The sequence below is a fragment of the Homo sapiens genome, chromosome 8, assembly GCF_000001405.40.
Source record: "Homo sapiens chromosome 8, GRCh38.p14 Primary Assembly".
NCBI lineage: Eukaryota > Metazoa > Chordata > Mammalia > Primates > Hominidae > Homo > Homo sapiens.
In genome coordinates, this window is record NC_000008.11 from 143061032 (window position 1) to 143083486 (window position 22455).

At 50.3% G+C, this 22455-nt stretch overlaps 2 protein-coding genes and 1 pseudogene across 5 annotated transcripts in view; 1 reads left to right on the forward strand and 2 right to left on the reverse strand.

Moving 5' to 3' along the window:
- The window catches only part of LY6S (lymphocyte antigen 6 family member S), a 35633-nt gene extending 20193 nt beyond the window's left edge, over nucleotides 1-15440 (reverse strand). The window contains exons 1-2 of one of the 4 annotated variants that reach the window (XR_008485574.1): nucleotides 2234-2421; nucleotides 864-1011 (exon numbers count right to left, since the gene is read on the reverse strand). Coding sequence is in view for 2 of the 4 variants with exons in the window: in XM_054328424.1 (XP_054184399.1) it covers nucleotides 10271-10278; nucleotides 11124-12330 (1215 nt within the window). In the remaining 2 variants the exon portion in view is untranslated. Of the gene's footprint in view, nucleotides 1-863; nucleotides 1012-2233; nucleotides 2422-10031; nucleotides 10279-11123 lie in introns of those variants that run through there. The other 3 variants (XM_054328425.1, XM_054328424.1, XR_008485573.1) reach the window with 3 other exon arrangements.
- Nucleotides 4819-5123, reverse strand: RPS26P36 (ribosomal protein S26 pseudogene 36; annotated as a pseudogene).
- Nucleotides 15441-19598: 4158 nt separating the features above from the next.
- LY6L (lymphocyte antigen 6 family member L) lies at nucleotides 19599-22455 on the forward strand. The gene is made up of 4 exons (NM_001368160.2): nucleotides 19599-19628; nucleotides 20005-20095; nucleotides 20180-20296; nucleotides 21394-22455. The coding sequence occupies exons 2-4, from the start codon at nucleotides 20023-20025 to the stop codon at nucleotides 21618-21620; spliced, it is 417 nt and encodes a 138-aa protein (NP_001355089.1). The 5' UTR covers nucleotides 19599-19628; nucleotides 20005-20022; the 3' UTR covers nucleotides 21621-22455.

Sequence of the window (22455 nt, forward strand, 5' to 3'; positions counted from 1 at the left end):
GTTCTCACATTAAATGTAAATGAACTTATTCTAATTTATAGACAAAAAGTTTTAGGCCAAATAAAGATAACAATAGACTGGTCACAGTGCTCATTTTAAAAGGAAGGACACAGGCCAGACATGGTGGCTCACGTCTGTAATCCCAGCACTTTGAGGGGCTGAGGTCAGAGGATCTCTTGAGCCCAAGAGTTCAAGACAAGCCTGGGCAACATAGCAAACCCCTGTCTCTTAAAAAAAAAAAAAATCACTGAATGAAAAGAATGGGAAAAGATACATCATGCTGATAGTATTAGGCAGGAAATGCAGCTGAAATAAAAGGATATTTATAGTGATAAAAGGGTCAACACAACACGACAATATTTTAATCCTACATTTGTACATATCTAATAAAATAGCTTCAAAACATTTAACCACAATAGGACAAAGCTGAAAATCAAGGCAAATCCACAATCACACTTAGGTTTGTTTGTTTGGTTGGTTGGTTGGTTGGTTGGTTGGTTTGGTGTTTTTTATTTTGTTTGTTGGTTTTTGAGAGGGAGTTTTGCTCCTGTTGCCCAGACTAGAGTGCAATGGTGCGATCTTGGCTCACTGCAAACTCCACCTCCCGGGTTCAAGTAATTCTCCTGCCTCAGCCTCCCAAATAGCTGGGATCACAGGCATGTGCCACCATGCCCAGCTAATTTTGTATATTTAGTGAGATGGGTTTTCTCCATGTTGGTCAAGGCTGGTCTTGAACTCCTGACCTCAGGTGATGTGCCCACCTTGGCCTCTCAAAGTGCTGGGATTACAGGTGTGAGTCACCACACCTGGCCAGGTATTTCAATACGAATCTTTAAGTAACTGATAGAACAAGCGGACAAAAATTAGAATACATGAATTTATACAAGATTATAAATATTCACATACTGAACATACATGGAATGCTGTACCAAACACCTGGAGAATCCACATTTCTTTAAGTGAATGTAGAACATTTATCAAATGTGTCCCATGCTCAGCCAGGCAATTAATCTATAATTAGAAATAAAACATATAAAGGTTGGAAAGAAATAAATGCAATATGGCAAGAAAAAGATATGATTAGAAAGGAAATGAAACTGTCATTATTTGCAAATGATATATTTGCATATGGGGAGAAACCAAAATAATTTGCAAACAAAATATACATAAATTTAACAGGGTTCTGAAGGTCAAGGTACAAAAATCAAATATATTCTATAGACTGACAAGGTAAAGTGAAATGTTAAAGACAGTATCATTTATATTATCATCAAAACCAATAGAATGTTCAAAATGAAACCTAACAAGAGATGCAGAAGACCTCTACCCTGAAAAACCAAGAAAATACACAAGAGGCCGGGCGTGGTAGCTCACGCCTGTAATCCCAGCACTCTGGGAGGCCAAGGCGGGTGGATCATGAGGTCAGGAGTTCAAGACCAGCCTGGTCAACATGGCGAAATCCTGTTGACCAGGAGTACTAAATACACAAAAAATTAGCTGGGAGTGATGGTGGGCACCTGTAATCCCAGCTACTCGGGAAGCTAAGGCAGGAAAATCATTGAACCTGGGAGGCGGATGTTACAGTGAGCCAAGATCGCACCATTGCATTCCAGCCTGGGTGACAGAGTGAGACTCCATCTCAAAGAAATAAAAATACACATGAGAAAAAAATGGAGATCTATATAAGGAAGGACATACAAAGGCATCTGTTGGAAGAGTTAATACTTTTAAATTGATGTACAGATTTGATGCAATCCTGATCAAAAGGGTATCAGGAATGATGATGATGATGATGATGATGATGTCAAAATTCGCCTGCTGAGTCTGTAATTTATCTGGAAATACTAAAGTTTTAGAATAGCCAGGGCAACCTTGGAGAAGAACAAGGGCTTATGAATCACGTGTCAAGATTTTCTGAAACTTTCCATTGTTATGACAGCTTGGTATTGGCAAAGGGGACAGACAGCTGCTGAGTTGGGCCTGTCCCCTCCATTTTTTAGCAGCACTTGATCACCAGGCTGGAAAATCTGGACAAGTTCTGCCGAGTTCACAGGCTCCTGTTTGGAGCAAGCTTATGCAAAACATGAAGGATTTGTCCCACTTGAGTATGTTTAATAGTTGGCTTTCTACTGAGAGGCACCCCAGTAACCTGAGACAGACTAGCAGCAAAGGGTCTCCCATATATAATTTCATAGGGACTTAACCTGATCCCACTTCTGGGGGTCACTCTTACCCAGAGCAGTGCAAGGCCAAAGCCCTAAATCCATTTCAGTTGAGTTTCCTGACACCGTTTGGCAAGAACTGTTTTAACGGTTTGATTTTTCCTTTCCATCAGTCCAGAGGATTGCGGTCTCCATGCTGAATGCAGCTCCCAATTTACTCCAAGTGCCCTGAGTACTTGGGACAACTGCAGGGCTCTCGTAAGGGCAATCAGTTCTGCCTCCTGTGCAGAGGTTCCTATTGGTAAAGTCCTCGCTTCTGTTACCTCGGAAACAGTTACCAAGGCATATGCAGCATTTCTTTTTCTGTTGGTTACCAGGTTGCTCCCATCCACAAACAATGTCCAGTCTGCATGTGGCAGGGCTGTGTCCTTTAAATTAGGGCAACTGGAAAACACCTGGTCAATAATTTCTAAGTGATTGTGCATAGGTTCTTTAGGCTCTTCAGTAGCGGGAAGTACAGTTTCTGGGTTTAAGACTCCAGCAGTCTGCACTTTTACTGCAGGGTCATCTGGGAGTGTGGCCTGGCATTTGCTCAGCCTGTCCGCTGTCAGCCAGTAGCCTCCCTTCTGTTCCAGTAACACCTGCACCTGGTGAGGCTCATGGATCATGATGCGCTGTCCCCAAACCAACTTTTCAGCTTCCTTTAACAGCAGGCAGTGGCAGCAACTGCCCTTACACAAGGAGCCAGCCTTTGGCCACAGCATCCAGTAAGCCACTGGCTGCAATATTCTTCCTAATTTCTGTGTAAGGACCCCTAGTGTTAGACCCAGTCTCTCAGGCATGTACAGGGCTCATGAAAGGGCTTGTGAGAATTTGGGAGCCCCAGGGCTAGGGCAGAGGTTAACTTAGGTTTCAGTTATTCACATGCATGCTGATGTTTTGTTCACAGTCGAAGGGGCCATTGTTAGCTCCCTTCAACAGTTTGTCTAGCGGCTTTACCAGTAGTTCATAGTTAGGAATCCAGATTAACAAAACCCTGTTATGCCTAGAAATCCTTTTAGCTGCCTTCAGGTAGCGGTGGCTGAGATGGAAGCAGTTGCATTTCGCCCTTCCACTGTTAGAGCTCTGTTTCCCTTCTATAGAGAAAACCTAAATATTTCACAGTTTGTTGGCATATTTGAGCCTTTTTACTTGAAACCTTATATCCACAGGTTGCTAGATGGTTTAGGGTTTTAATGGTGTTATTCTGATAGCCCCATTCAGAGGGGCTAGATATTAGTAAATCATCCACATATTGTAAATATACCCAGTTTTTCGATTGCAAGCTCCTCAAATCTTGAGCCAAGGCTACTCCAAATATAGTTGGAGAGCTTTGAAATCCTGGTGGGAGCACAATCCAATGATACTGAACTTGTGTGTGGCTTTAGGACCTGTCTATTCAAAGGTGACCAACAATTGGCTTTCTGTGTCTGTGGGTATGCAAAAGAAAACTTCTTTTAAATCCAGTACTGCAAACCATTTATGATCTCCAGGAAGAGAAGCAGACATAGTATACAGGTTAGCTACAGTGGAATGTATGTCCTCTACAACATCCCAGTTTGGGTCCGTGCGGGGAATTGCTCCAGTCGGGATCTGGAGTGTCGTCTGGATTTTCATCATGAAGGTGCTGTGCCTCTTCCTTTGCTTCATTTAAAACCAGCCATAGCTCATCTGCAGTGAGCATAATGTCCCAGAGAGCCTGCTCGTCTGCCCAGGTGAGATGGTGTGCAGCAAATAGTGGTAAATAATTCAGCCATCTTTCAGGGATCCTCCCTGTCTGTAGGGAGGGTTAGAGTTCTTCCAATGTAACAAGTCCGAGGTGGAGCAGGGATTACAGGCCCAATCATTTTGGGCTGGAGCTTCTTGCTGATGGATGTTGTCATCGTGGGAACACTATGCAGTGCCCTGCTCTGGACTCTGTGACTCCTCAGCCAAAATTAGTACCTTGCCTAATCTGAGAGGAAGACAGAAGCCCTGCTGCTTCCCTGTACTCTGGGGGTGACATTCCCTCTCTTTTCTGAGGTGGGGCAGGAGACACTATGGGGTTTAGGGTACTTACTGTCAGGTTTGGGAGGTTTTCTCTTCCTCCCCTGGGGAACAGGACAGACCTTAGCAGTGCCTCACACCATGAGCTCATTTCCCTTTTCTTCAGCATCCTCGTTATGCAGCCACATACATGCCAGCATGCAAGGTGTTCTGCCCCCTTTGCCTGACCTCTGGCAGAACAGTTTTAATGGATAAATGTATGAAATTTCGAAGATCCAAAAACTGGCCATCATTTCTCAGACCCTCAAACAAACATTGGCCAAGCTGTGTTGCAATAGAATATTTTTTTTTTTTTGGTCATGGGTGGATAACCAAAGTGCTTCCAATCTGACAGAATTCTCCTCCCTAGATGACTGTGTAGGGAGAGACGCAGTATTGCCTGTACTGGAGCCGGAAGACTTAATGACTCCCATGCCGGGCGCAGGACTTGTGTGTGGCCGGTTGTCCCTTTCTTTCTCTTTCTTTCTCTTTCTTTCTTTCTTTCTTTCTTTTCTCTTTCTTTCTTTTTCTTTCTTTCTTTCTTTCTTTCTTTCTTTCTTTCTTTCCTTCCTTCCTTCTTTCTTTCTTTCTTGTACGATATCTATTTTGTTTTCCTCCCGAGAATAGTCTGTCTTCAGTCTTTAAGGACTCAGTTCCTCACGTGGGCTTTGGTGGCGGTCGTGGGGCAGCACCCACAGGTCTAAATCGAGGCGGGGGTGTTCGGTCCTTGTGGGCTTCATGAGATCCATTCCTGACTACCTTGCTGTGCATTGCACAACCTACACAAGAAAGTAGCTTCACATACAGCTTGGGAAGCACATAGGCATCGAAGACACTCGCTTCGGAAATGTCCCTGACTGCTGCGGCCTCCATGATGTTTCCAATGATGAATTTCTTTTCTTTTCTTTTCTTTTCTTTTCTTTTCTTTCAAGATGGGGTCTCACTCTATCACTCAGGCTGGAGTGCAGAGGCGCAATCTCAGCTCACTACAACCTCCGCCTCCCAGGTTCAAGCGATTCTCATGCCTCCTGAGTAGCTGGGATTACAGGCACCCACCATCACACCGGCTATTTTTTGTATTTTTAGTAGAGACGGGGTTTTGCCATGTTGGCCAGGCTGGTCTGGAACTCATGACCTCAGGTGATCCACCCACCTTGGTCTCCCAAAGTGCTGGGATTACAGGTGTGAGCCACTGCGCCCAGCCTCAAATGATGAATTTCTTAATGGCCTTGTCCTTGGCCACACATCAGGCACCATTCGTGCAGCGAATCGGCTGCACATGGCTGTGGCCCTTTTTGGCATGACCATTGTTCCTTCTTTTCTTTGTCATCTTGGAGGCATAGACCGGAAAGAGGACAGTTGTTCCTTTCTTTTGGCCAATTTCTCCCTTTTGGAATGGGAATGTTTACCCAATGCCTGCATCCCCATTGTATCTTGGAAATAAATAACTTGTCTTTGAGTTCAAAGGCTCATAGGTGGAAAGAACTCATTTCCAGATGAGACTTTGAACCTGGGACTGCAGGCTTTTGGTTGTGTTGATGCTGGGACGAGTTAAGACTTTGGGGAACTACTGAGAAGGGACGATCTTACTTTGCAATGTGAGAAGGACATGAGATTCGGGAAGCCCAGGGTGGAATGATATGGTTTAGATGTCTATCTCTTCCAAATATCATGGGGAAAAGGCCTCAAAGGCATTTCAGAAATCTCTGGAAGTGTAATCCCCAGTGGTGGAGGTGGGCCTGGTGGGTGGTGTTTGGATCGTTGGGGTGGGTCCCTCATGAACGTGTTGGCGCCATCCTCATGATAGTGAGTGAGTTCTCGCTCTGAGTTCATGTGAGATGTAATTGTTTAAAAGAGTGAGGTGCCTCCTACCCCTTTCTCCACTCTTGTTATGTGAGATACCTGCTGTGGGGAAAAGAAAGAGAGATCAGATTGTTACTGTGTCTACGTAGAAAAGGAAGACATAAGAAACTCCATTTTGATCTCTACTAAGAAAAATTGTTCTGCTTTGAGATGCTGTTAATCTGTAACTTTAGCCCCAACCCTGTGCTCACAGAAACATGTGCTGTATTGAATCAAGGTTTAATGGATTTAGGGCTGTGCAGGGTATGCCTTGTTAACATGTTTGCAGGCAGTGTGCTTGGTAAAAGTCATTGCCATTCTCCATTCTCTATTAACCAGGGACACAATGCACTGCAGAAAGCCACAGGGACCCCTGCCCCTCCACACCTGTGAGTATTTCTCGTCAGGTGGAGATAAGAGACTGAGAAAAGAAATAAGACACAGAGACAAAGTATAGAGAAAGAACAGTGGGCCCAGGAGACCGGCACTTAACATGCGAGGACCCGCGTCGGCGCTGGTCTCTGAGCTCCCTCAGGATTTATTGATCACTATTTTTACTATCTTGGCGAGGGGAGTGTGGCAGGACAACAGGGTGATGGTGGGGAGAAGGTCAGCAGGGAAACATGTGAGCAAAGGAATCTGTATCATGAATAAGTTCAAGGGAAGGTACTGTGCCTGGATGTGCACGTAGGCTAGATTTATGTTTCACTTTACACAAACATCTCAGTGTAGCAAAGAGTAACCGAGCAGTATTGCTGCCAGCATATCTCGCCTCCAGCCACAGGGCAGTTTTCTCCCATCTCAGAATAGAACTAACGGTCAGCTTTACACTGAGGCATTCCATTTCCAGGGACAAGCCGGAGACAGAAACCTTCCTCTTATCTCAACTGCAAAGAGGCCTCCCTCTTTCACTACTCCTCCTCAGCACAGACCCTTCACGGGTGTTGGGCTGGGGGATGTAAGGTCTTTCCTTTCCCACAAGGCCATATCTCAGGCTGTCTCAGTGGGGGGAAACCTTGGTCAATACGCAGGCTTTCTTGGGCAGAGGTCCCTGCGGCTTTCCGCAGTGCATTGTGTCCCTGGTTAATAGAGAATGGAGAATGGCGATGACTTTTACCAAGCATACTGCCTGCCAACAAATTGTTAACAAGGCACATTCTGCACAGCCCTAAATCCCTTAAACCTTGATTCAATAGAGCATATGTTTCTGTGAGCACAGAGTTGGGGCTAAAGTTACAGATTAACAGCACCTCAAAGCAGAACAATTTTTCCTAGTACAGATCAAAATGGAGTTTCTTATGTCTTCCTTTTCTATGTAGACACAGTAACAATCTGATCTGTCTTTCTTTTCCCCACAACCTGCTTCCCCTTTGCCTTCTGCTATGATTGGAAACTTCCTGAGGCCTCCCGAGAAGCCAAGCAGATGCCAGCACTGTGCTTCCTGTACAGCCTGCAATACCAAGAGCCAATTAAACCTCTTCTTTGTAATTTGCCCAGTCTTAGGTATTTCTTTACAACAACAAAAGAACAGACTATCACAACAGGCAAGAGTCAAAATTTTCTTGTCTCAGTTCCCTTGGAGAACAGTAATTATATATTTATAGTGGTTGTTATGGTGATTTATGCCAACAAAAGGGCACTTGACTAATAATTTCTTTTTTTTTTTCTGAGAATATCTCGCTCCAGATTGACTAATAACTTCCTAGAAAACTACCATGCTTAAGATAAAATCCAAGCTCTTCTGCAGTGCCACTCCCAGAATTGTTTATCCTGTCACTGCAGGAGTGAGCTGGGCTGGGTCTGAGATCTTATGTCCCAGGGAGAAATGCTCCCCGCACCGCCCCAGGGGGACCCCAAGGGTCCTGGGAGTTGGAAACGAAAGTTGACCCATGGTGGTTCTGAGTTCCTGCCTCTGAGTCAATAGGCAAAGCAAGGGGCTGTGCCATCCTAGCTGGGGCTGTTTTCAACTCACCAAGGAAGCGAGCTGGCCCCGCTCCCATGGGGTGTGGGGAATTGTCTCTGGGCTCAAGGCTCTCTCTCATCTCTTACGTCTCCCACATCCAAGGGAAAAAGTTAATGGGAACCAGAGCCCCTAGAAAGAGACAAGGCTGCGGAAAGTCCAGACGCTTCCGCAGTGAGGGCTTAGTCACCCTGTAACTGAGTGGCTGGTCTTCAAAATGCATTTTTAAACTTGTTTCCTTTCTCTTGGGTTTCAAGATATAACCTTGAAGCAAACTGCAGAAGCCTTTTCCCTTAGCCTTGAAATACACTCCTCATCCCTCCCTTTCTCACCGTAAATACTCTCTCAAAGTTCTCTGTCCATTAGTATCTAATTATGTGCCTTCTTAGAAGTGCCGCAGGCTAATCTTGAGACAGACAGGCCAAGCCTGGGGACCCAGCCGCAAAATTCCAGAGATGACTTCAAAGCGGGTAATTAACAGCCCGGCCATAGTTGCGATGATGCCAGCCCGTGCTCCAGGTGAACTGGGACCCAAGACAGCCACCAGGACGGGACACACAGGCGCTGTGCTCAGCACGATTCCTGCATGCCTTCCATATCCAGCTTTCCATTTGTGAACCTTTGCCTTTCCCCCCACATTTGAAGTGGTTGCTCTGGGTCAGAATCCAGCTACTTCCTTTCACTAGTCTTGGCTAATGAAGTCTCTTGCTTTCTACCGGCCCCTGCTCTTGTTAATCAGACTCCGCAAGCAGAGAACACCTGAACCTGTGGCGTCTACAAGCCCACCAGTAAAGAGCCCTTTCCTGAGGACAAAATACACGTGAATGAACAGGGGACAGGGGATGTTACAGCGGCCGCACCCAGCGTCGTGGGAAGCCCCAGGCATTAGGGTCCGGCAGTGCACTAGTCAGCTCCTGCCGCCATAACGAACACCACAACTGGGGGCTTAAGCTACAGGAATGGATTCTGTCGCTGTCCTGGAGGCTGGAGATCAGAGATCAAGGTGTCAGCAGGGCTGGCTCCCCCTGGGGCACCTCTCCTTGGCATGCAGATGGCATCTGCTCCCTGCATTCTGTCACGGTTGCCCCTCTGTGTGTGTCTGTGTCCTCACCTCCTCTTATAAGGACACCAGGCATGCTGGACTAGGGCCCACCCTAATGACCCCATTCTACCGTAATCACCTCTTTAAGGACCCTATTTTCAAATGCTATCACATTCTGAGGTAGCGGGAGTGAGGGCTCAACATGTGAATTTGAGGGGGGCACAGTTCAGCCATAACAAGTGCCCATGGGCTTTCTCCAGCTGATATATATATATAAATATATATATATTTATATATATTTTTTATTTATGTATATATATTTATATATATATTATATATATATTGTATATATATATATATATAATATATATATAAATATATATATATATTTTTTTTTTTTTTTGAGATGGATTCTCGCCCTGTCGCCCAGGCTGGAGTGTAGTGGCATGATCTCAGCTCACTGCGACCTCTGCCTCCTGGGTTCAAGTGATTCTCCTGCTCCAGCCTCCTGGGTAGCTGGGATTACAGGCGCATGTCACCACACCCAGCTAATTATTTTATCTTTAGTAGAGATGGGGTTTCACCATGTTGGCCAGGCTGTTCTCGAACTCCCGACCTCGTGATCCACTCGCCTCGGCCTCCCAAAGTGCTGGGATTACAGGCGTGAGCCACCGTGCCCGGCCGCAGTTGCCCTATGTTTTTATGTATTATTTCATTTCTTCTCTCACTCCTCCTCTACCCTATTATTTTATACAGGGACTGATGTTGTAAATTAACAGACTTAGTATTTATGTTACACAGTATTCTAACAGGACTGGCTGGCTTCCCAGAGCACACACTTTCACCCAGAAAGAGATCGTATTGATCAGAGTGTGGTGGGGAAAGGAAGGTCACTTGTTTTTACGTGTGGTGGGGAAAGGAAGGTCACTTGTTTTTACATGTGATGGAATAAAGGGTGGAATATAGACTCAGGAGGCGGCATGGCTGGCGGAAGACCCGGCATGGAATACAGACTCAGGAGGCGGCATGGCTGGCGGAAGACCCGGCATGGAATACAGACTCAGGAGGCGGCATGGCTGGCGGAAGACCCGGCAGCATGGATGTTGGGGAAGCTGTCCCCACAGTGAGAAGACTTGATGGTGGACATGTCAGCTTAAAGCACCCAAGAAGAGGTCTCAAACGTTCTCCTGGCAGCTGTGGTCAGAGGGCTATGGGATAGAGGGGAGGGATGAGTGGGTGGAGCAAGGGGATTTTTAAGGCCCTGAAACGATTCTGCAACATTGTAATGGTGGACGCATGATGTTATGGATTTGTCAAAACCCGCAGAATATACAACACAAAGAGTGAGCCCTGGTGTAAGCTATAAACTTGTGTTAATAACCACGTATCAATATCGGTTTATCCATTGTACCACATGAATGCAAAGTGTGATTAATAGGAGAAATGTGAGACAGGGCAGGATACACGGGAACCCTCTGTACTATCTTCTCGATTTTCTATAAAGCCAAAACTGCTCAAAGAAATAGAGTCTATTGATAAATAAATAAGTTTTCCTGGAAGCCGCTGCAATCCCCAAGGTCCCCAAACAGCTTCCACCCACTGTCACTCTCTACAGCAAACAGCATCCCCACAAGCTCGCAGGAGGACGTCTGTGAGGTTCCCGTCTACGCACGTGCCCGGCTTCAGCGACCCCAGGAAAGGAGGGTCTCCACTTAATCTTCCAAGATCTACGGGAGTTTCCCTTAGAAAACTCTAATTCAGAGCCACACGGGAGGGAGTCTGGTGGTTCTTCAGAAGAGGGTGTGCTGGGTTCAAGGTTACAACAGAAAATCCAGCACCATCCACCCCAAAGTCAACACACCATCTAACACAACCTCCCTTCACATTTACCCTCTGAAAAGAATGTGGCACCCCCATGCTTCCTCCTGACATTGCAGTTGGCAGCAATTCCTCTCAGCTTTTATTTATCTGAAAAAATGCCTTTATTTTGCCCTCATTTGTGAGGGAAATTTTAAATAGTATCAGAATCCAAGTTGGTAATTTGATTTCTTACCAGTGTCTGCTTCTGGCTTCCGAAGTTCCTGTTTGAGAAGACAGCCGTCATTCTGGGGGTTCCTGTTTGAGGAGACAGCCGTCGTCCTCGGGGTCCCTGTTTGAGGAGACAGCCGTCGTCCCCGGGGTTCCTGTTTGAGGAGACAGCCGTCGTCCCCGGGGCTCCTGTTAGAGAAGACAGCCGTCGTCCTCGGGGTTCCTGTTTGAGGAGACAGCCGTCGTCCTCGGGATTCCTCTTTGAGGAGACAGCCGTCGTCCTCGTGGTCCCTGTTTGAGGAGACAGCCGTCGTCCTCGGGATTCCTGTTTGAGGAGACAGCCGTCCTCCCCGGGGTCCCTGTTTGAGGAGACAGCCGTCGTCCTCGGGATTCCTGTTTGAGGAGACAGCCGTCGTCCTCGTGGTCCCTGTTTGAGGAGACAGCCGTCGTCCTCGGGGTTCCTGTTTGAGGAGACAGCCGTCGTCCTCGGGGTTCCTGTTTGAGGAGACAGCCGTCGTCCTCGGGGTCCCTGTTTGAGGAGACAGCCGTCGTCCCCGGGGTCCCTGTTTGAGGAGACAGTCGTCGTCCTCGGGATTCCTGTTTGAGGAGACAGCCGTCGTCCTCGGGGTTCCTGTTTGAGGAGACAGCCGTCGTCCCCGGGGTCCCTGTTTGAGGAGACAGCCGTCGTCCTCGGGATTCCTGTTTGAGGAGACAGCCGTCGTCCTCGTGGTCCCTGTTTGAGGAGACAGCCGTCGTCCCCGGGGTCCCTGTTTGAGGAGACAGCCGTCATCCCCGGGGTTCCTGTTTGAGGAGACAGCCGTCGTCCTCGGGGTTCCTGTTTGAGGAGACAGCCGTCGTCCCCGGGGTCCCTGTTTGAGGAGACAGCCGTCGTCCCCGGGGTCCCTGTTTGAGGAGACAGCCGTCGTCCTCGGGGTCCCTGTTTGAGGAGACAGCCGTCGTCCCCGGGGTTCCTGTTTGAGGAGACAGCCGTCGTCCTCGGGGTTCCTGTTTGAGGAGACAGCCGTCGTCCCCGGGGTTCCTGTTTGAGGAGACAGCCGTCGTCCTCGGGGTTCCTGTTTGAGGAGACAGCCGTCATTCTTGGGGTCCCTGTTTGAGGAGACAGCTGTCGTCCTCGGGGTCCCTGTTCGAGGAGACAGCCGTCGTCCCCGGGGCTCCTGTTCGAGGAGACAGCCGTCATCCTCGGGGTTCCTGTTTGAGGAGACAGCCGTCATCCCCGGGGCTCCTGTTTGAGAAGACAGCCATCATCCTCGGGGTCCCTGTTTGAGGAGACAGCCGTCGTCCTCGGGGTTCCTGTTTGAGGAGACAGCCGTCGTCCCCGGGGCTCCTGTTTGAGGAGACAGCCGTCGTCCCCGGGGCTCCTGTTTGAGAAGACAGCCATCGTCCTCGGGGTCCCTGTTTGAGGAGACAGCCGTCGTCCTCGGGGCTCCTGTTTGAGAAGACAGCCATCATCCTCATGGTCCCTGTTTGAGGAGACAGCCGTCATCCCCGGGGCTCCTGTTTGAGAAGACAGCCATCATCCTCGGGGTTCCTGTTCGAGGAGACAGCCGTTGTCCCCAGGGCTCCTGTTTGAGGAGACAGCCGTCGTCCTCGGGATTCCTGTTTGAGGAGACAGCCATCGTCCCCGGGGTCCCTGTTTGAGGAGACAGCCGTCGTCCCCGGGGTCCCTGTTTGAGGAGACAGCCGTCGTCCCCGGGGTCCCTGTTTGAGGAGACAGCCATCGTCCCCGGGGTTCCTGTTTGAGGAGACAGCCATCATCCTCGTGGTCCCTGTTTGAGGAGACAGCCGTCGTCCCCGGGGTCCCTGTTTGAGGAGACAGCCGTCGTCCCCGGGGTCCCTGTTTGAGGAGACAGCCGTCGTCCCCGGGGTTCTCTAGTGCTAAGGTGTTTTTTTCTCCTGGCTGCAGCTAACATTTTTCTCTTTTCCTTTAGTTTCAGCAGTTTGATTATGATGTGACTAAATATGGTTTTCTCCAGTTTTATACTTCATGGAGTTTGATAAGCCTATTGAATCTTGGGTTAATGTCTCTTACCAATTTTGGAAAATTGGCTATTATCCATCAAAATAATATTGCTCCTATCCCATTCTCACCCTTCTCCTGGGATTCCAATACACATGTTAGACAGTTGGATCAGTACCATATGGCCCTCTTCTCTCTGTCTCTGTCTCTCTCTGTGCATGTGTGTATGTGGGTGTGTGTGTTTGTGTACTTTTAATTCTATCTTTTCTCTGTGCTTTATTTTGGATAATTTCTATGGACCTGTCTGAAACTTCATCAATCCTTTTTGCTACTATATGTTTAGTCTGCTCTTAAGCCCATCCAATGAGTTCTTAATTTCAGGTATTATATTAATTGGTTAATATAATAAACACTTATTTTTATTATTTATTTTATTTTTAATAACAAATAATGAGCACCTACTTTCATAGCTTTCATCTCTCTGTTGAAATTCTCCATCTTTTCATCCATTTTGTTCATCCTTTCCTCCATCTCATTTCATGTATTTACAAGAATATTGTAAAGCATTTGTCTGCTAATTCTTTCATCTGGGTTATCTGTGCATCTGCTTCTATTGAATAGCTTATCTCTTGGTTGAAAATCACACTCTCCTGTAATTCTTATAATTTTTGGTAGTGTGCTAGAAATTATATGCAAAAGAACCAAGAAACATCAGTCTCTCCCCGCAGGTAGAGCTCTGCCGATGACTAACCCGCCCTCAGCACCATTCAGCTCCACTGCGAGAAAGGGGCCCCCCAAGACTGGCAGTTCCTTCAGATTTGCACCCACCATTTTCCAATGCATTTGAAAGAAATGATAATTTTTGTACATAATTCCATTTTTTCTCATTGTTGAAATAGAAAGGTTGGCTTCACACTCTTTCCTCATGCTAACTGGACGTGAAAATCTTGTCTTTTTGCATTACAAAATCTGGGAGTTATTTGTCATTATGACTCATTTTTTTCATTTACATTATTCATCTGTGGATCTTTTTTCCTTATTCAGTCTTGCCAGATATTTGTCTAATTTTTGTTCCTTCAAACACACAGCCATGGCTGTGCTGATTTTTCTGTTTTGTTAATAGGCATTCTCAGTCCTGTCTCTTTTCTTCAGTTGAGTTTTGAAATGTGGAGGTTGGACCCTGAGCTTGCTAACTTCAGGCTTCCCACCAGTTTCCCCCTAATAACTCCAGCATTGATCACCTAAGAAAAAAGTCTCCCTCCTACTCACCAAATATCACTCTAATGGCTGAGAACATTATTAATTCAAAAATAAGGCCAGGCACGGTGGCTCACGCCTGTAATCCCAGCACCTTGGGAGGCCGAGGAGGGTGGATCATCTGAGGTCAGGGGTTCAAGACGAGCCTGGGCAACATGATGAAACCCCATCTCTACTAAAAATACAAAAAGTAGCCAGGCGTGGTGGTGCACAACTGTACTCCCAGCTACTTAGGAAGCTGAGACAGGAGAATCACTTGAGCCCGGGAGACAGAAGTTGCAGTGAGCCAAGATCACGTCACTGCACTCCAGCCTGGGCAACAGAACAAGACTCAATCTCAGAGAAAAAAAGAATTTAACCTTTCTTATTTCCCAATGCAAATATATAGGGTTAGATTTTTCTCAGGTACAGCTTTTACTGCAGCCCAATAGTTTTGATAGTAGTATCTTAGTTTTAATCATTTCTAGGTATTTTAATTTCCAATATGACTTCTTCTTTAACTGTGGTTTATTAGAATAGTGGTTTTCAATGTTTTAACATGTGTAACTATGTCACTGATGCTTTTGTTATGAACGTCTGTGCTGGGTCAGAGAATATTGTCAGTGTGGTAAATGTGTCAGTTTGAAAATGATAACAAAATCCTTGCTCACTGTTGCCTTGAAAAAAAATGAAAATGATAACAATCTGTACCTTTAGGACAAAATGAAAGTACCGGACTCTCTGGTTCAAGAGCTCCCTGGTGCCTGTGTGTTTGACTGATTTTGTGAACCAGAAGGATTGTGCGCCGGGGAGACCATTCAGGCTTACTGATGTCACTAAACCCAAAGTCAGAAACAGAACACAATTGCACACAGCTGTCCGTCTAAGAAAGACAGCACCTGATGAATTGCTCAGGCACAGGGAGTGAGGGGCCAGAGTGTGAGGCCCCCACTGCTGACCCAATTCTCTCAGCACCCCCACACCTCTCTGGGGTGCCACTGTTGTTCCTCCTGGGAGCCCTGTCAGCAGCAGAGAGGGGTCTCGCTGGGGACGCCCAGACACCTATCCCCAGATTAAGACAGGGCAAGGAGAAGACCTGTTCCCAGGGAGAGCTGTGCATGGAGCCCCCAAGGCAGGGCCAGGAACTGGAGTGTGAAAGAAGCCAAGTCACCAAAACTATGTAGAGTCAAAAGGGCTAAAGCTCCACAGCCCTAAGAATCAGACACTCAAACCAGGGTTCCACATGGCAAGGGGAGGAGAAAGGCAAGCAAGTTATGACCTGGGCAGAGCCAGGAGGGGCGAGCAAGAAACTGGCCAGGCCCTACACGTGTGCCTGGGGCAAATGGTTACGATCTGAGCTTCCCAACAGCCAAGGTGAGAAGGAAAAAGGGTCAGAGGTATAAGTGTAGCGGGAGCACGATGATCTTCAGTGTCAACAATTCAGCCTGGCAGTCCATAGCAAGAGCACAGGGATGGAGACTGTGGGACTCATTCAGGACACCACTCGGGGAGGCCTCTGGACATCACGCCAAGATCCCCTTCACTGGAAAAATTCCACAGTGTGTTTCCGTCCGTGCCTACACCGGGGTTGGCGCACATACCCACACAGCAGCTTGCTGGCACCCAGCTCTCTGACAGTGAATACAATAAGGGCAGGAAGGAAGGTCATCCACTTCATCTAAACAGGAAGCTTGCACATTTTCCTGATTGAGATCTACACTTTAAAAAGTTAATAAATATATCCACACCCAAAACACTGACACACATAACATTTACGTAACATATTCACATAGATTTATAACCGATAAACATATTTACAACATAAAACATAAATATAAAATATGAAATAAAATACCAAACATACTTATAACACATATATTTGTATATCTAAAACATTATATACACACATATATACACAAGCAAAAATATATAAGCATAAATAAAACACATTTTTATTTAAATTACTTTCTTCATTAAAATATATGTGTCCTAATTGTGCATAATGTACTCTGATCTTTATTATTCAATTCAATTCTATTCTTTCATCTTCTAGAACATACAAACATGGTTCCTATTCACCAGCTGGGTTTTATGACCCGGGCTCCTTGGACAGCGCTGCTCCCAGCACCGCTCAGAAGCAGTGCAGAGTGCAGGCCGAGGCTCCATGCGGCTGAGCCGGGCTTGAATTCAGCCCTCTACCTATTACCTGGGTGATCCTGAATCAGGGCAACAACCATCCTGGTTTGCCCAGCACCGAGGGCTTCCCAGGTCGCAGGACTTTGGTGCTAAAATTGGGACATTGATCCCCCATCATGAAGCCAACTCCTCAGGTCTCTGTTCCATTTTATTATTTTTAGAATTGGACTTATTGTACCCACCTCCTAGGATTGAAATCAGGCCAGAAATGAAGAATGTTGATAGAATAAACACTTGACAAACGTCACTGGGGCCTGTGGGCTGTGCTCGTACAGGCCTCTCTGCTGCCAGATGTACACTGGCTCACACACCTGGACAGGTGTTGGAGTCTGGGGCCAGCGGGGTGGGGGCTCCTGACAGAGACCACCAGGAACAAGCAAGCCCTTAACAAGGAGGTGGCCTTGCCTCTCCTGGGCAACTGCAGGACCAAGTCAGGGAACCGTGGAGGCGAAGACCGCAGAGCCATGCCCCCGCCCTCAGACCCAAATCTTTGCTCTGGGCTGTTTTGAAGCCTGTCCATGAACTGTACTCATTCCAGGGGTGCCTCCAGGAACAGCCACAGGCTGTGCCCGCCAGGGAGCTGGAGTGATACGTGATGGGGATAACTGCATGACCCAGCAAAGTATCCTGGGAACACCAGGCCTGCACCCGCCCACCCTGCTGACCACAGGCTGACTGACCCTTTCCCGTCCCTGGTTAGTCCCCACCACCTCCAGGGGCTGCTGTGTCTGGGAGTTAATTCATGAAGGAGAGAAGAAATGAGGCCAGGAGCACAGCTGGATGCAGTACTGAGGAACTTGGTCAGCCCTGGGGAGGGCCAGTCCCTTCTCGTGAGCACTGAAAGCTGTGTGGCTCCGAGCACGGCCCTCTCGGCCGTGGCTGCCCCAACACCCTGTCATCAGCCACAGGCTCAGATGAGTCTCTGCAGATCCCTCAGCCACTTCCTTTGAGACCTGTGTGTTCCTTCCAGCCTCCAACCTCCAACTACCACCTGGACTCCTTTATTGCATGTGCCTCCAATGCCGATGTTCTTTTGATTTTTCTTTTTGATTTTTGACTCTGCAGATTTCACAGTGCCAAATTCATTCAAATCAATCACAGTGAGAATGGCAAATGAAAAAATGCACATGATAAACAAATTGCATATGGCCCCTCCCCTCCAAACAACTTCCATCCCGTGCCCTCTAAGCCCACCCCCAAAACAGCCCTGATCCACACACAGGCTGGGCGGCAGAAAGGGCTGGAGCATCAGAGGACAAAGGGAGCAGAGGACGCTGAGCCCGGACAGGCAGGGGTCAGAGGGCAGGGCCCGTCTGGGGCATCCCTAGAGCATGCACCAGGGGAAACAGGAACGGGACAGTCCTGCTGGGTGGGCCACTATGTGGACGCAGGGGAAATGGCCCCACCTGGCTGCACACTCACTCTCCGACTGGCACTTTCTCTCCCAGCAGCCGTTACTGGAAAGGCCACAGCAGGGGAGGGGCTTGCTGGTCTGCAGTGCGGGAGAGGATGCGGAGGCCCTGGAGGTGGTGGGCAGCAGTCACGCTGGGGCCAGGGGCAGCCCTTCCCAACCACCTTATGGGTAGCAGTTACCCCTTTCTTCTTTCCGAGACCTACCTCCTGCAAGACCCCTGAGGGCAGGTGACTGGGCCGGTTCACTGCTGCAGACCCAGGGTCCAGCCCTGCTTGTCATCATACATGCTCAAAAGGATGTCATTCAGGAAATGAAGGCAGGAAGCAGAAAAGAGCAAACCTGACACGGGGTGAAAGCTGTGTGACCACCTGGGCTGGAGGGAAGGGCTCCGAGGAGGAAAGTGGCTCGGTGGTCCTCCAGACTGAGGACAGCATTTCCTGACATCACCTGGGTCTGGCAGGGCCCTGTGCCCCCGGTGAGGCGGGAGAGGGTGTGACAGTACCTCCGGAGGGGAGAGCTGGGTGCCCACCAACCGGGATGTCCATGCTGTTGGGTTCCAGCGGCCCAGTGAGAACACGGGTCAACTCCCTTGGCTCCCGGGGAAAAAACAGAATAAAGAATAGGACCAAGGGAAGACTCAGTGTAGGAGGCAGATGAGTCTAGTGAGGAGGGCGCAGGTCTATGCTATGACGGGGGCGGCCTCACACTCTGCATCCAGGACCTACATGGGGCCGAGCAGATGCTGCAAAAGAAATTGGAACCACAGCCTCCAACGGGCCCAGGGACGCTTTAGCACTCGACAGACCCGGCTGGGCCCCAGCCTCACCTGTGGGAGGACGAAGTGTGGGAGGACAGAGCTGGGAGGCAGCCTGCACAGGAGCCGTTTTTCCAGGGCACCAGTCTTCAAAGGCCGGGACTCAGCCCCCTGCAGGTCCCAGAAATTTGGCAGGAGTCCTGGAGCTGCAGCTCCCAACCCCTGCGGCAGCTCCAGGCTCCTGTAAGGCTATGGGAGCACGCCCTGCTTTCCTCTGGGCAACTGAGCCAGCCTGAGGGGCCCCTGGAGGCGCCTGCCCTTCTCCTCCCTTCTCCCCTCCTCCCAGGCCACCCCTGCCAGGGGAAAGCGCTCCAAGCACTCTAGAAAGAACGAAGATTATGTGCCTGTGGCCTAACCATCCCCGCCAACCTCATTTGCCCTTAACTATGCTCCTTCCTGGATCTGCCTGGCCGGCTCCTGTTCCATCTCAGGTTGTCCAAACCTCACCTGCGCCCCAGGGTCCCTACTCCGCCTCCTCCCTCTCCCTCCTCCTCCGCTTTGAAGCCTCTTCCCTCCCCCGTCTGCTTCCAAATCCAGACCACTCCTGCCCCACCCCAGGGAAAGGGTCGTCCCGCCCTCCGCGCCCTTTGAGGTGCTCAGGGCCCTCTGGGTCTCCTTCAGCCTCCGTGGGTCCCTGAGTCAGGAACCAAATCTGGCCCCACGTTCCCCAAGGCGCGGAGGCTGGGATCCGTGATTGGGGTTGACCCCCTCCTCCCCGGCCTCGGGCTATTTTCCGCAGGAGGCCGCTGCAGGCAGACGCTGAGGCCCTCGGGGACCCCGGAGCCGCCCCAGTACAAGAGCCCCGAGGAGGGGCTGGCCGGTCCCGCCCCCTCGGTCCCAGGGCTGACTCCTCCTCCAGGACGCAGATCCCTGCAGCCCGGCAGGAGAGAAGGTGCTGGGAGAGGGGTCCGGACTGTGGGCCGGGGGCTGGGATGAGGGTCGGGCGAGAACGGGCTCCGAGGGTTTAGAAAGAGAGATTGGAAGGGGGACCAAAGGCAGAGGGCCCAGGGAGAGGGAATGCGGGGAAGGGAGGAGAGCGAGCGTCGGGAGCAGGAGCCTGGGGGTGGGGGTTGCCCTCGGTGAAGCCCAGTCCAGGAGCGCAGGAGGCTGGAGGTGGGGGACGTCCTGGGTGAAGCCGCGTCCGGGAGCGCAGGAGGCTAGTGTGGGATGGGGGGTGCGCCCTGAGTAAAGCCCCGTCCGGGAGCAGGAAGCTGGGGAGGGGGCTCTCTGGGTGAAGCCTCCCGCAACACCCACCTCACCCCACTCAGGCTGAGCCTTCTGGCGTCATGGAGAGGCTCGTCCTAACCCTGTGCACCCTCCCGCTGGCTGTGGCGTCTGCTGGCTGCGCCACGACGCCAGGTAAGGCGCGGCCCGGGCTGGGCTGGGGGCGTCGGGGCTGGAGCTGCGGACGCTGGTCCACAGCGCCCCGCTTGCTGCCCACAGCTCGCAACCTGAGCTGCTACCAGTGCTTCAAGGTCAGCAGCTGGACGGAGTGCCCGCCCACCTGGTGCAGCCCGCTGGACCAAGTCTGCATCTCCAACGAGGTGGTCGTCTCTTTTAGTGAGTCCCCCCCGGGCAGAGGGCAGGTGCCAGGTGCCGGGGAAGGGCCGGTGCCCCCGCCTCTCAGCGACTTAGCTATGAGTCCTCGGCGCTCCAGGGCCTGGGGCCCTGTGGGTCCGAAAGTGCCTCCTGCTGTCTCTCCCGCGCTGGGCTCGGGCGAGCATCCCAGAGTGTGAATTTTGACTTTTTTCTCCTCCATTTGAAGTGTCACTAGGAACTGTCAGCAGGACAAAGGCTCTGATGTCACTGAATTTACAAAGACAGCAGGAACACACGGGTGGGGATGGGCAGCTGTTCGAGGCGATGGGTTATCTGCCCTTCCTGGCACAGCACAGTACACCTGCCATACAACCCAGCATCAGGCAGGCTGCACTGGAATCGATACAGTGTATGACAATGTCATATAGTATAACACAACATAATGAATATAACGTGTATATTGCAACTTAATATAATACGATGTAATATAATGCTACATAATACAACATAATATAATAAAATAGAATGCAACACAACACACCGTAACACTCTATGACACATAAGGGCGATTGATTCCACCCAAGCTCTTTTCTCAACAGTTTGGGTTTTGATGCTGTGCATCTCTTCAGGGGTTCCATGGTTGTTGACAGACACGTCCGTCAGAAAGTCTCTGCCATGTCTTTAAGTGAGCAGTACAGAGAAACGAGCCCAGGGCTGGGCACCCAGCCCAGCAGGTTCTCCGTGATGGGCAGCCCCTTTCCACTGCTCTGAGTCACCCCATCTCCCGACGACGCACATGCCCCGGGGCCGGCAGGGGTGGTCCAGGCTGTGCATGGCTTCGGGAGAAGGCCCCTTACAGCCAGTTGCCCTGGAGTCTGTATTTGCTGTGCCGCGGGCGGAGGTGGCCTGGGCAGCCAGGATCCCCAGCTCTGCAGCGCCTCACCCAGTAAAGGACAGGAGAAGGTGGTCTCTTGGCTGTCCTCGCAGGGCCAGGTTACGTGCTCTAGCTCTTTCTGGTCCCGGCTGCTCCTTTGGAAAGCATCCTTGCACTTTCCGCATAACTGTGGATACCTCCTTGCTGGGGCTCTGGGGCCACCTGCCTCTCCTCTTTTCTGCAGAATGGAGTGTACGCGTCCTGCTCAGCAAACGCTGTGCTCCCAGATGTCCCAACGACAACATGAAGTTCGAATGGTCGCCGGCCCCCATGGTGCAAGGCGTGATCACCAGGCGCTGCTGTTCCTGGGCTCTCTGCAACAGGGCACTGACCCCACAGGAGGGGCGCTGGGCCCTGCGAGGGGGGCTCCTGCTCCAGGTGGGCCTCAGCCTCCTCAGGGCCCTGTTGTGAGGGCCCTCCCTTTACGCCCCCTCCTGGCCCTGCTGGCCCATCCCGTCTCCTGCCTCCAACTGCCATCCTGCCTCCGCCCCTTCCAGGACACTGGGGGGGGACCCTCCCTCTCTGAGGTGGTGGGGAGGGTGCCATTGCCTCCATCCCGGATCTAGCCACCTCACTCCTCCCCACCGGGGGCCCCTTTGCTGGAGAACCCCAAGGATTCAGCAACTGCTCCTCCTGGGGAAGGACAGTGCCTCTGATGTGGGTGATGGGAAGGACGGTGCCTCTGATGTGGGTGATGGGAAGGACGGTGCCTCTGGTGTGGGTGATGGGAAGGACGGTGCCTCTGGTGTGGGTGATGGGATGGACGGTGCCTCTGGTGTGGGTGATGGGAAGGACGGTGCCTCTGGTGTGGGTGATGAGAAGGACGGTGCCTCCGGTGTGGGTGATGGGAAGGACGGTACCTCCGGTGTGGGTGACGGGAAGAATGGTGCCTCCAGTGTGGGTGATGGGAAGGATGGTGCCTCTGATGGGCAATGGGGAAGGATGGTGCCTCCGGTGTTGGGTGATGGGGAAGGACGGTGCCTCTGGTGTTGGTGGTGGGAAAGACAGTGTCTCTGGTGGGCGATGGCCCCTTGCATGAGGCCCCTTGCCCTGAATGCTGTCCAGGACCCTTCGAGGGGCAGAAGAACCTGGGTGCGGCCACAGCTGGGGCTCCCACTCTGCCTTCCCATTTCCAGCCCCCTCTGCCCAAGGGAAACCCAGGAAGGATAACACTGTGGGTGCCCCCACCTGTGCATTGGGACCACGACCTTCACCCTCTTGGAGACAATAAACTCTCATGCCCCCA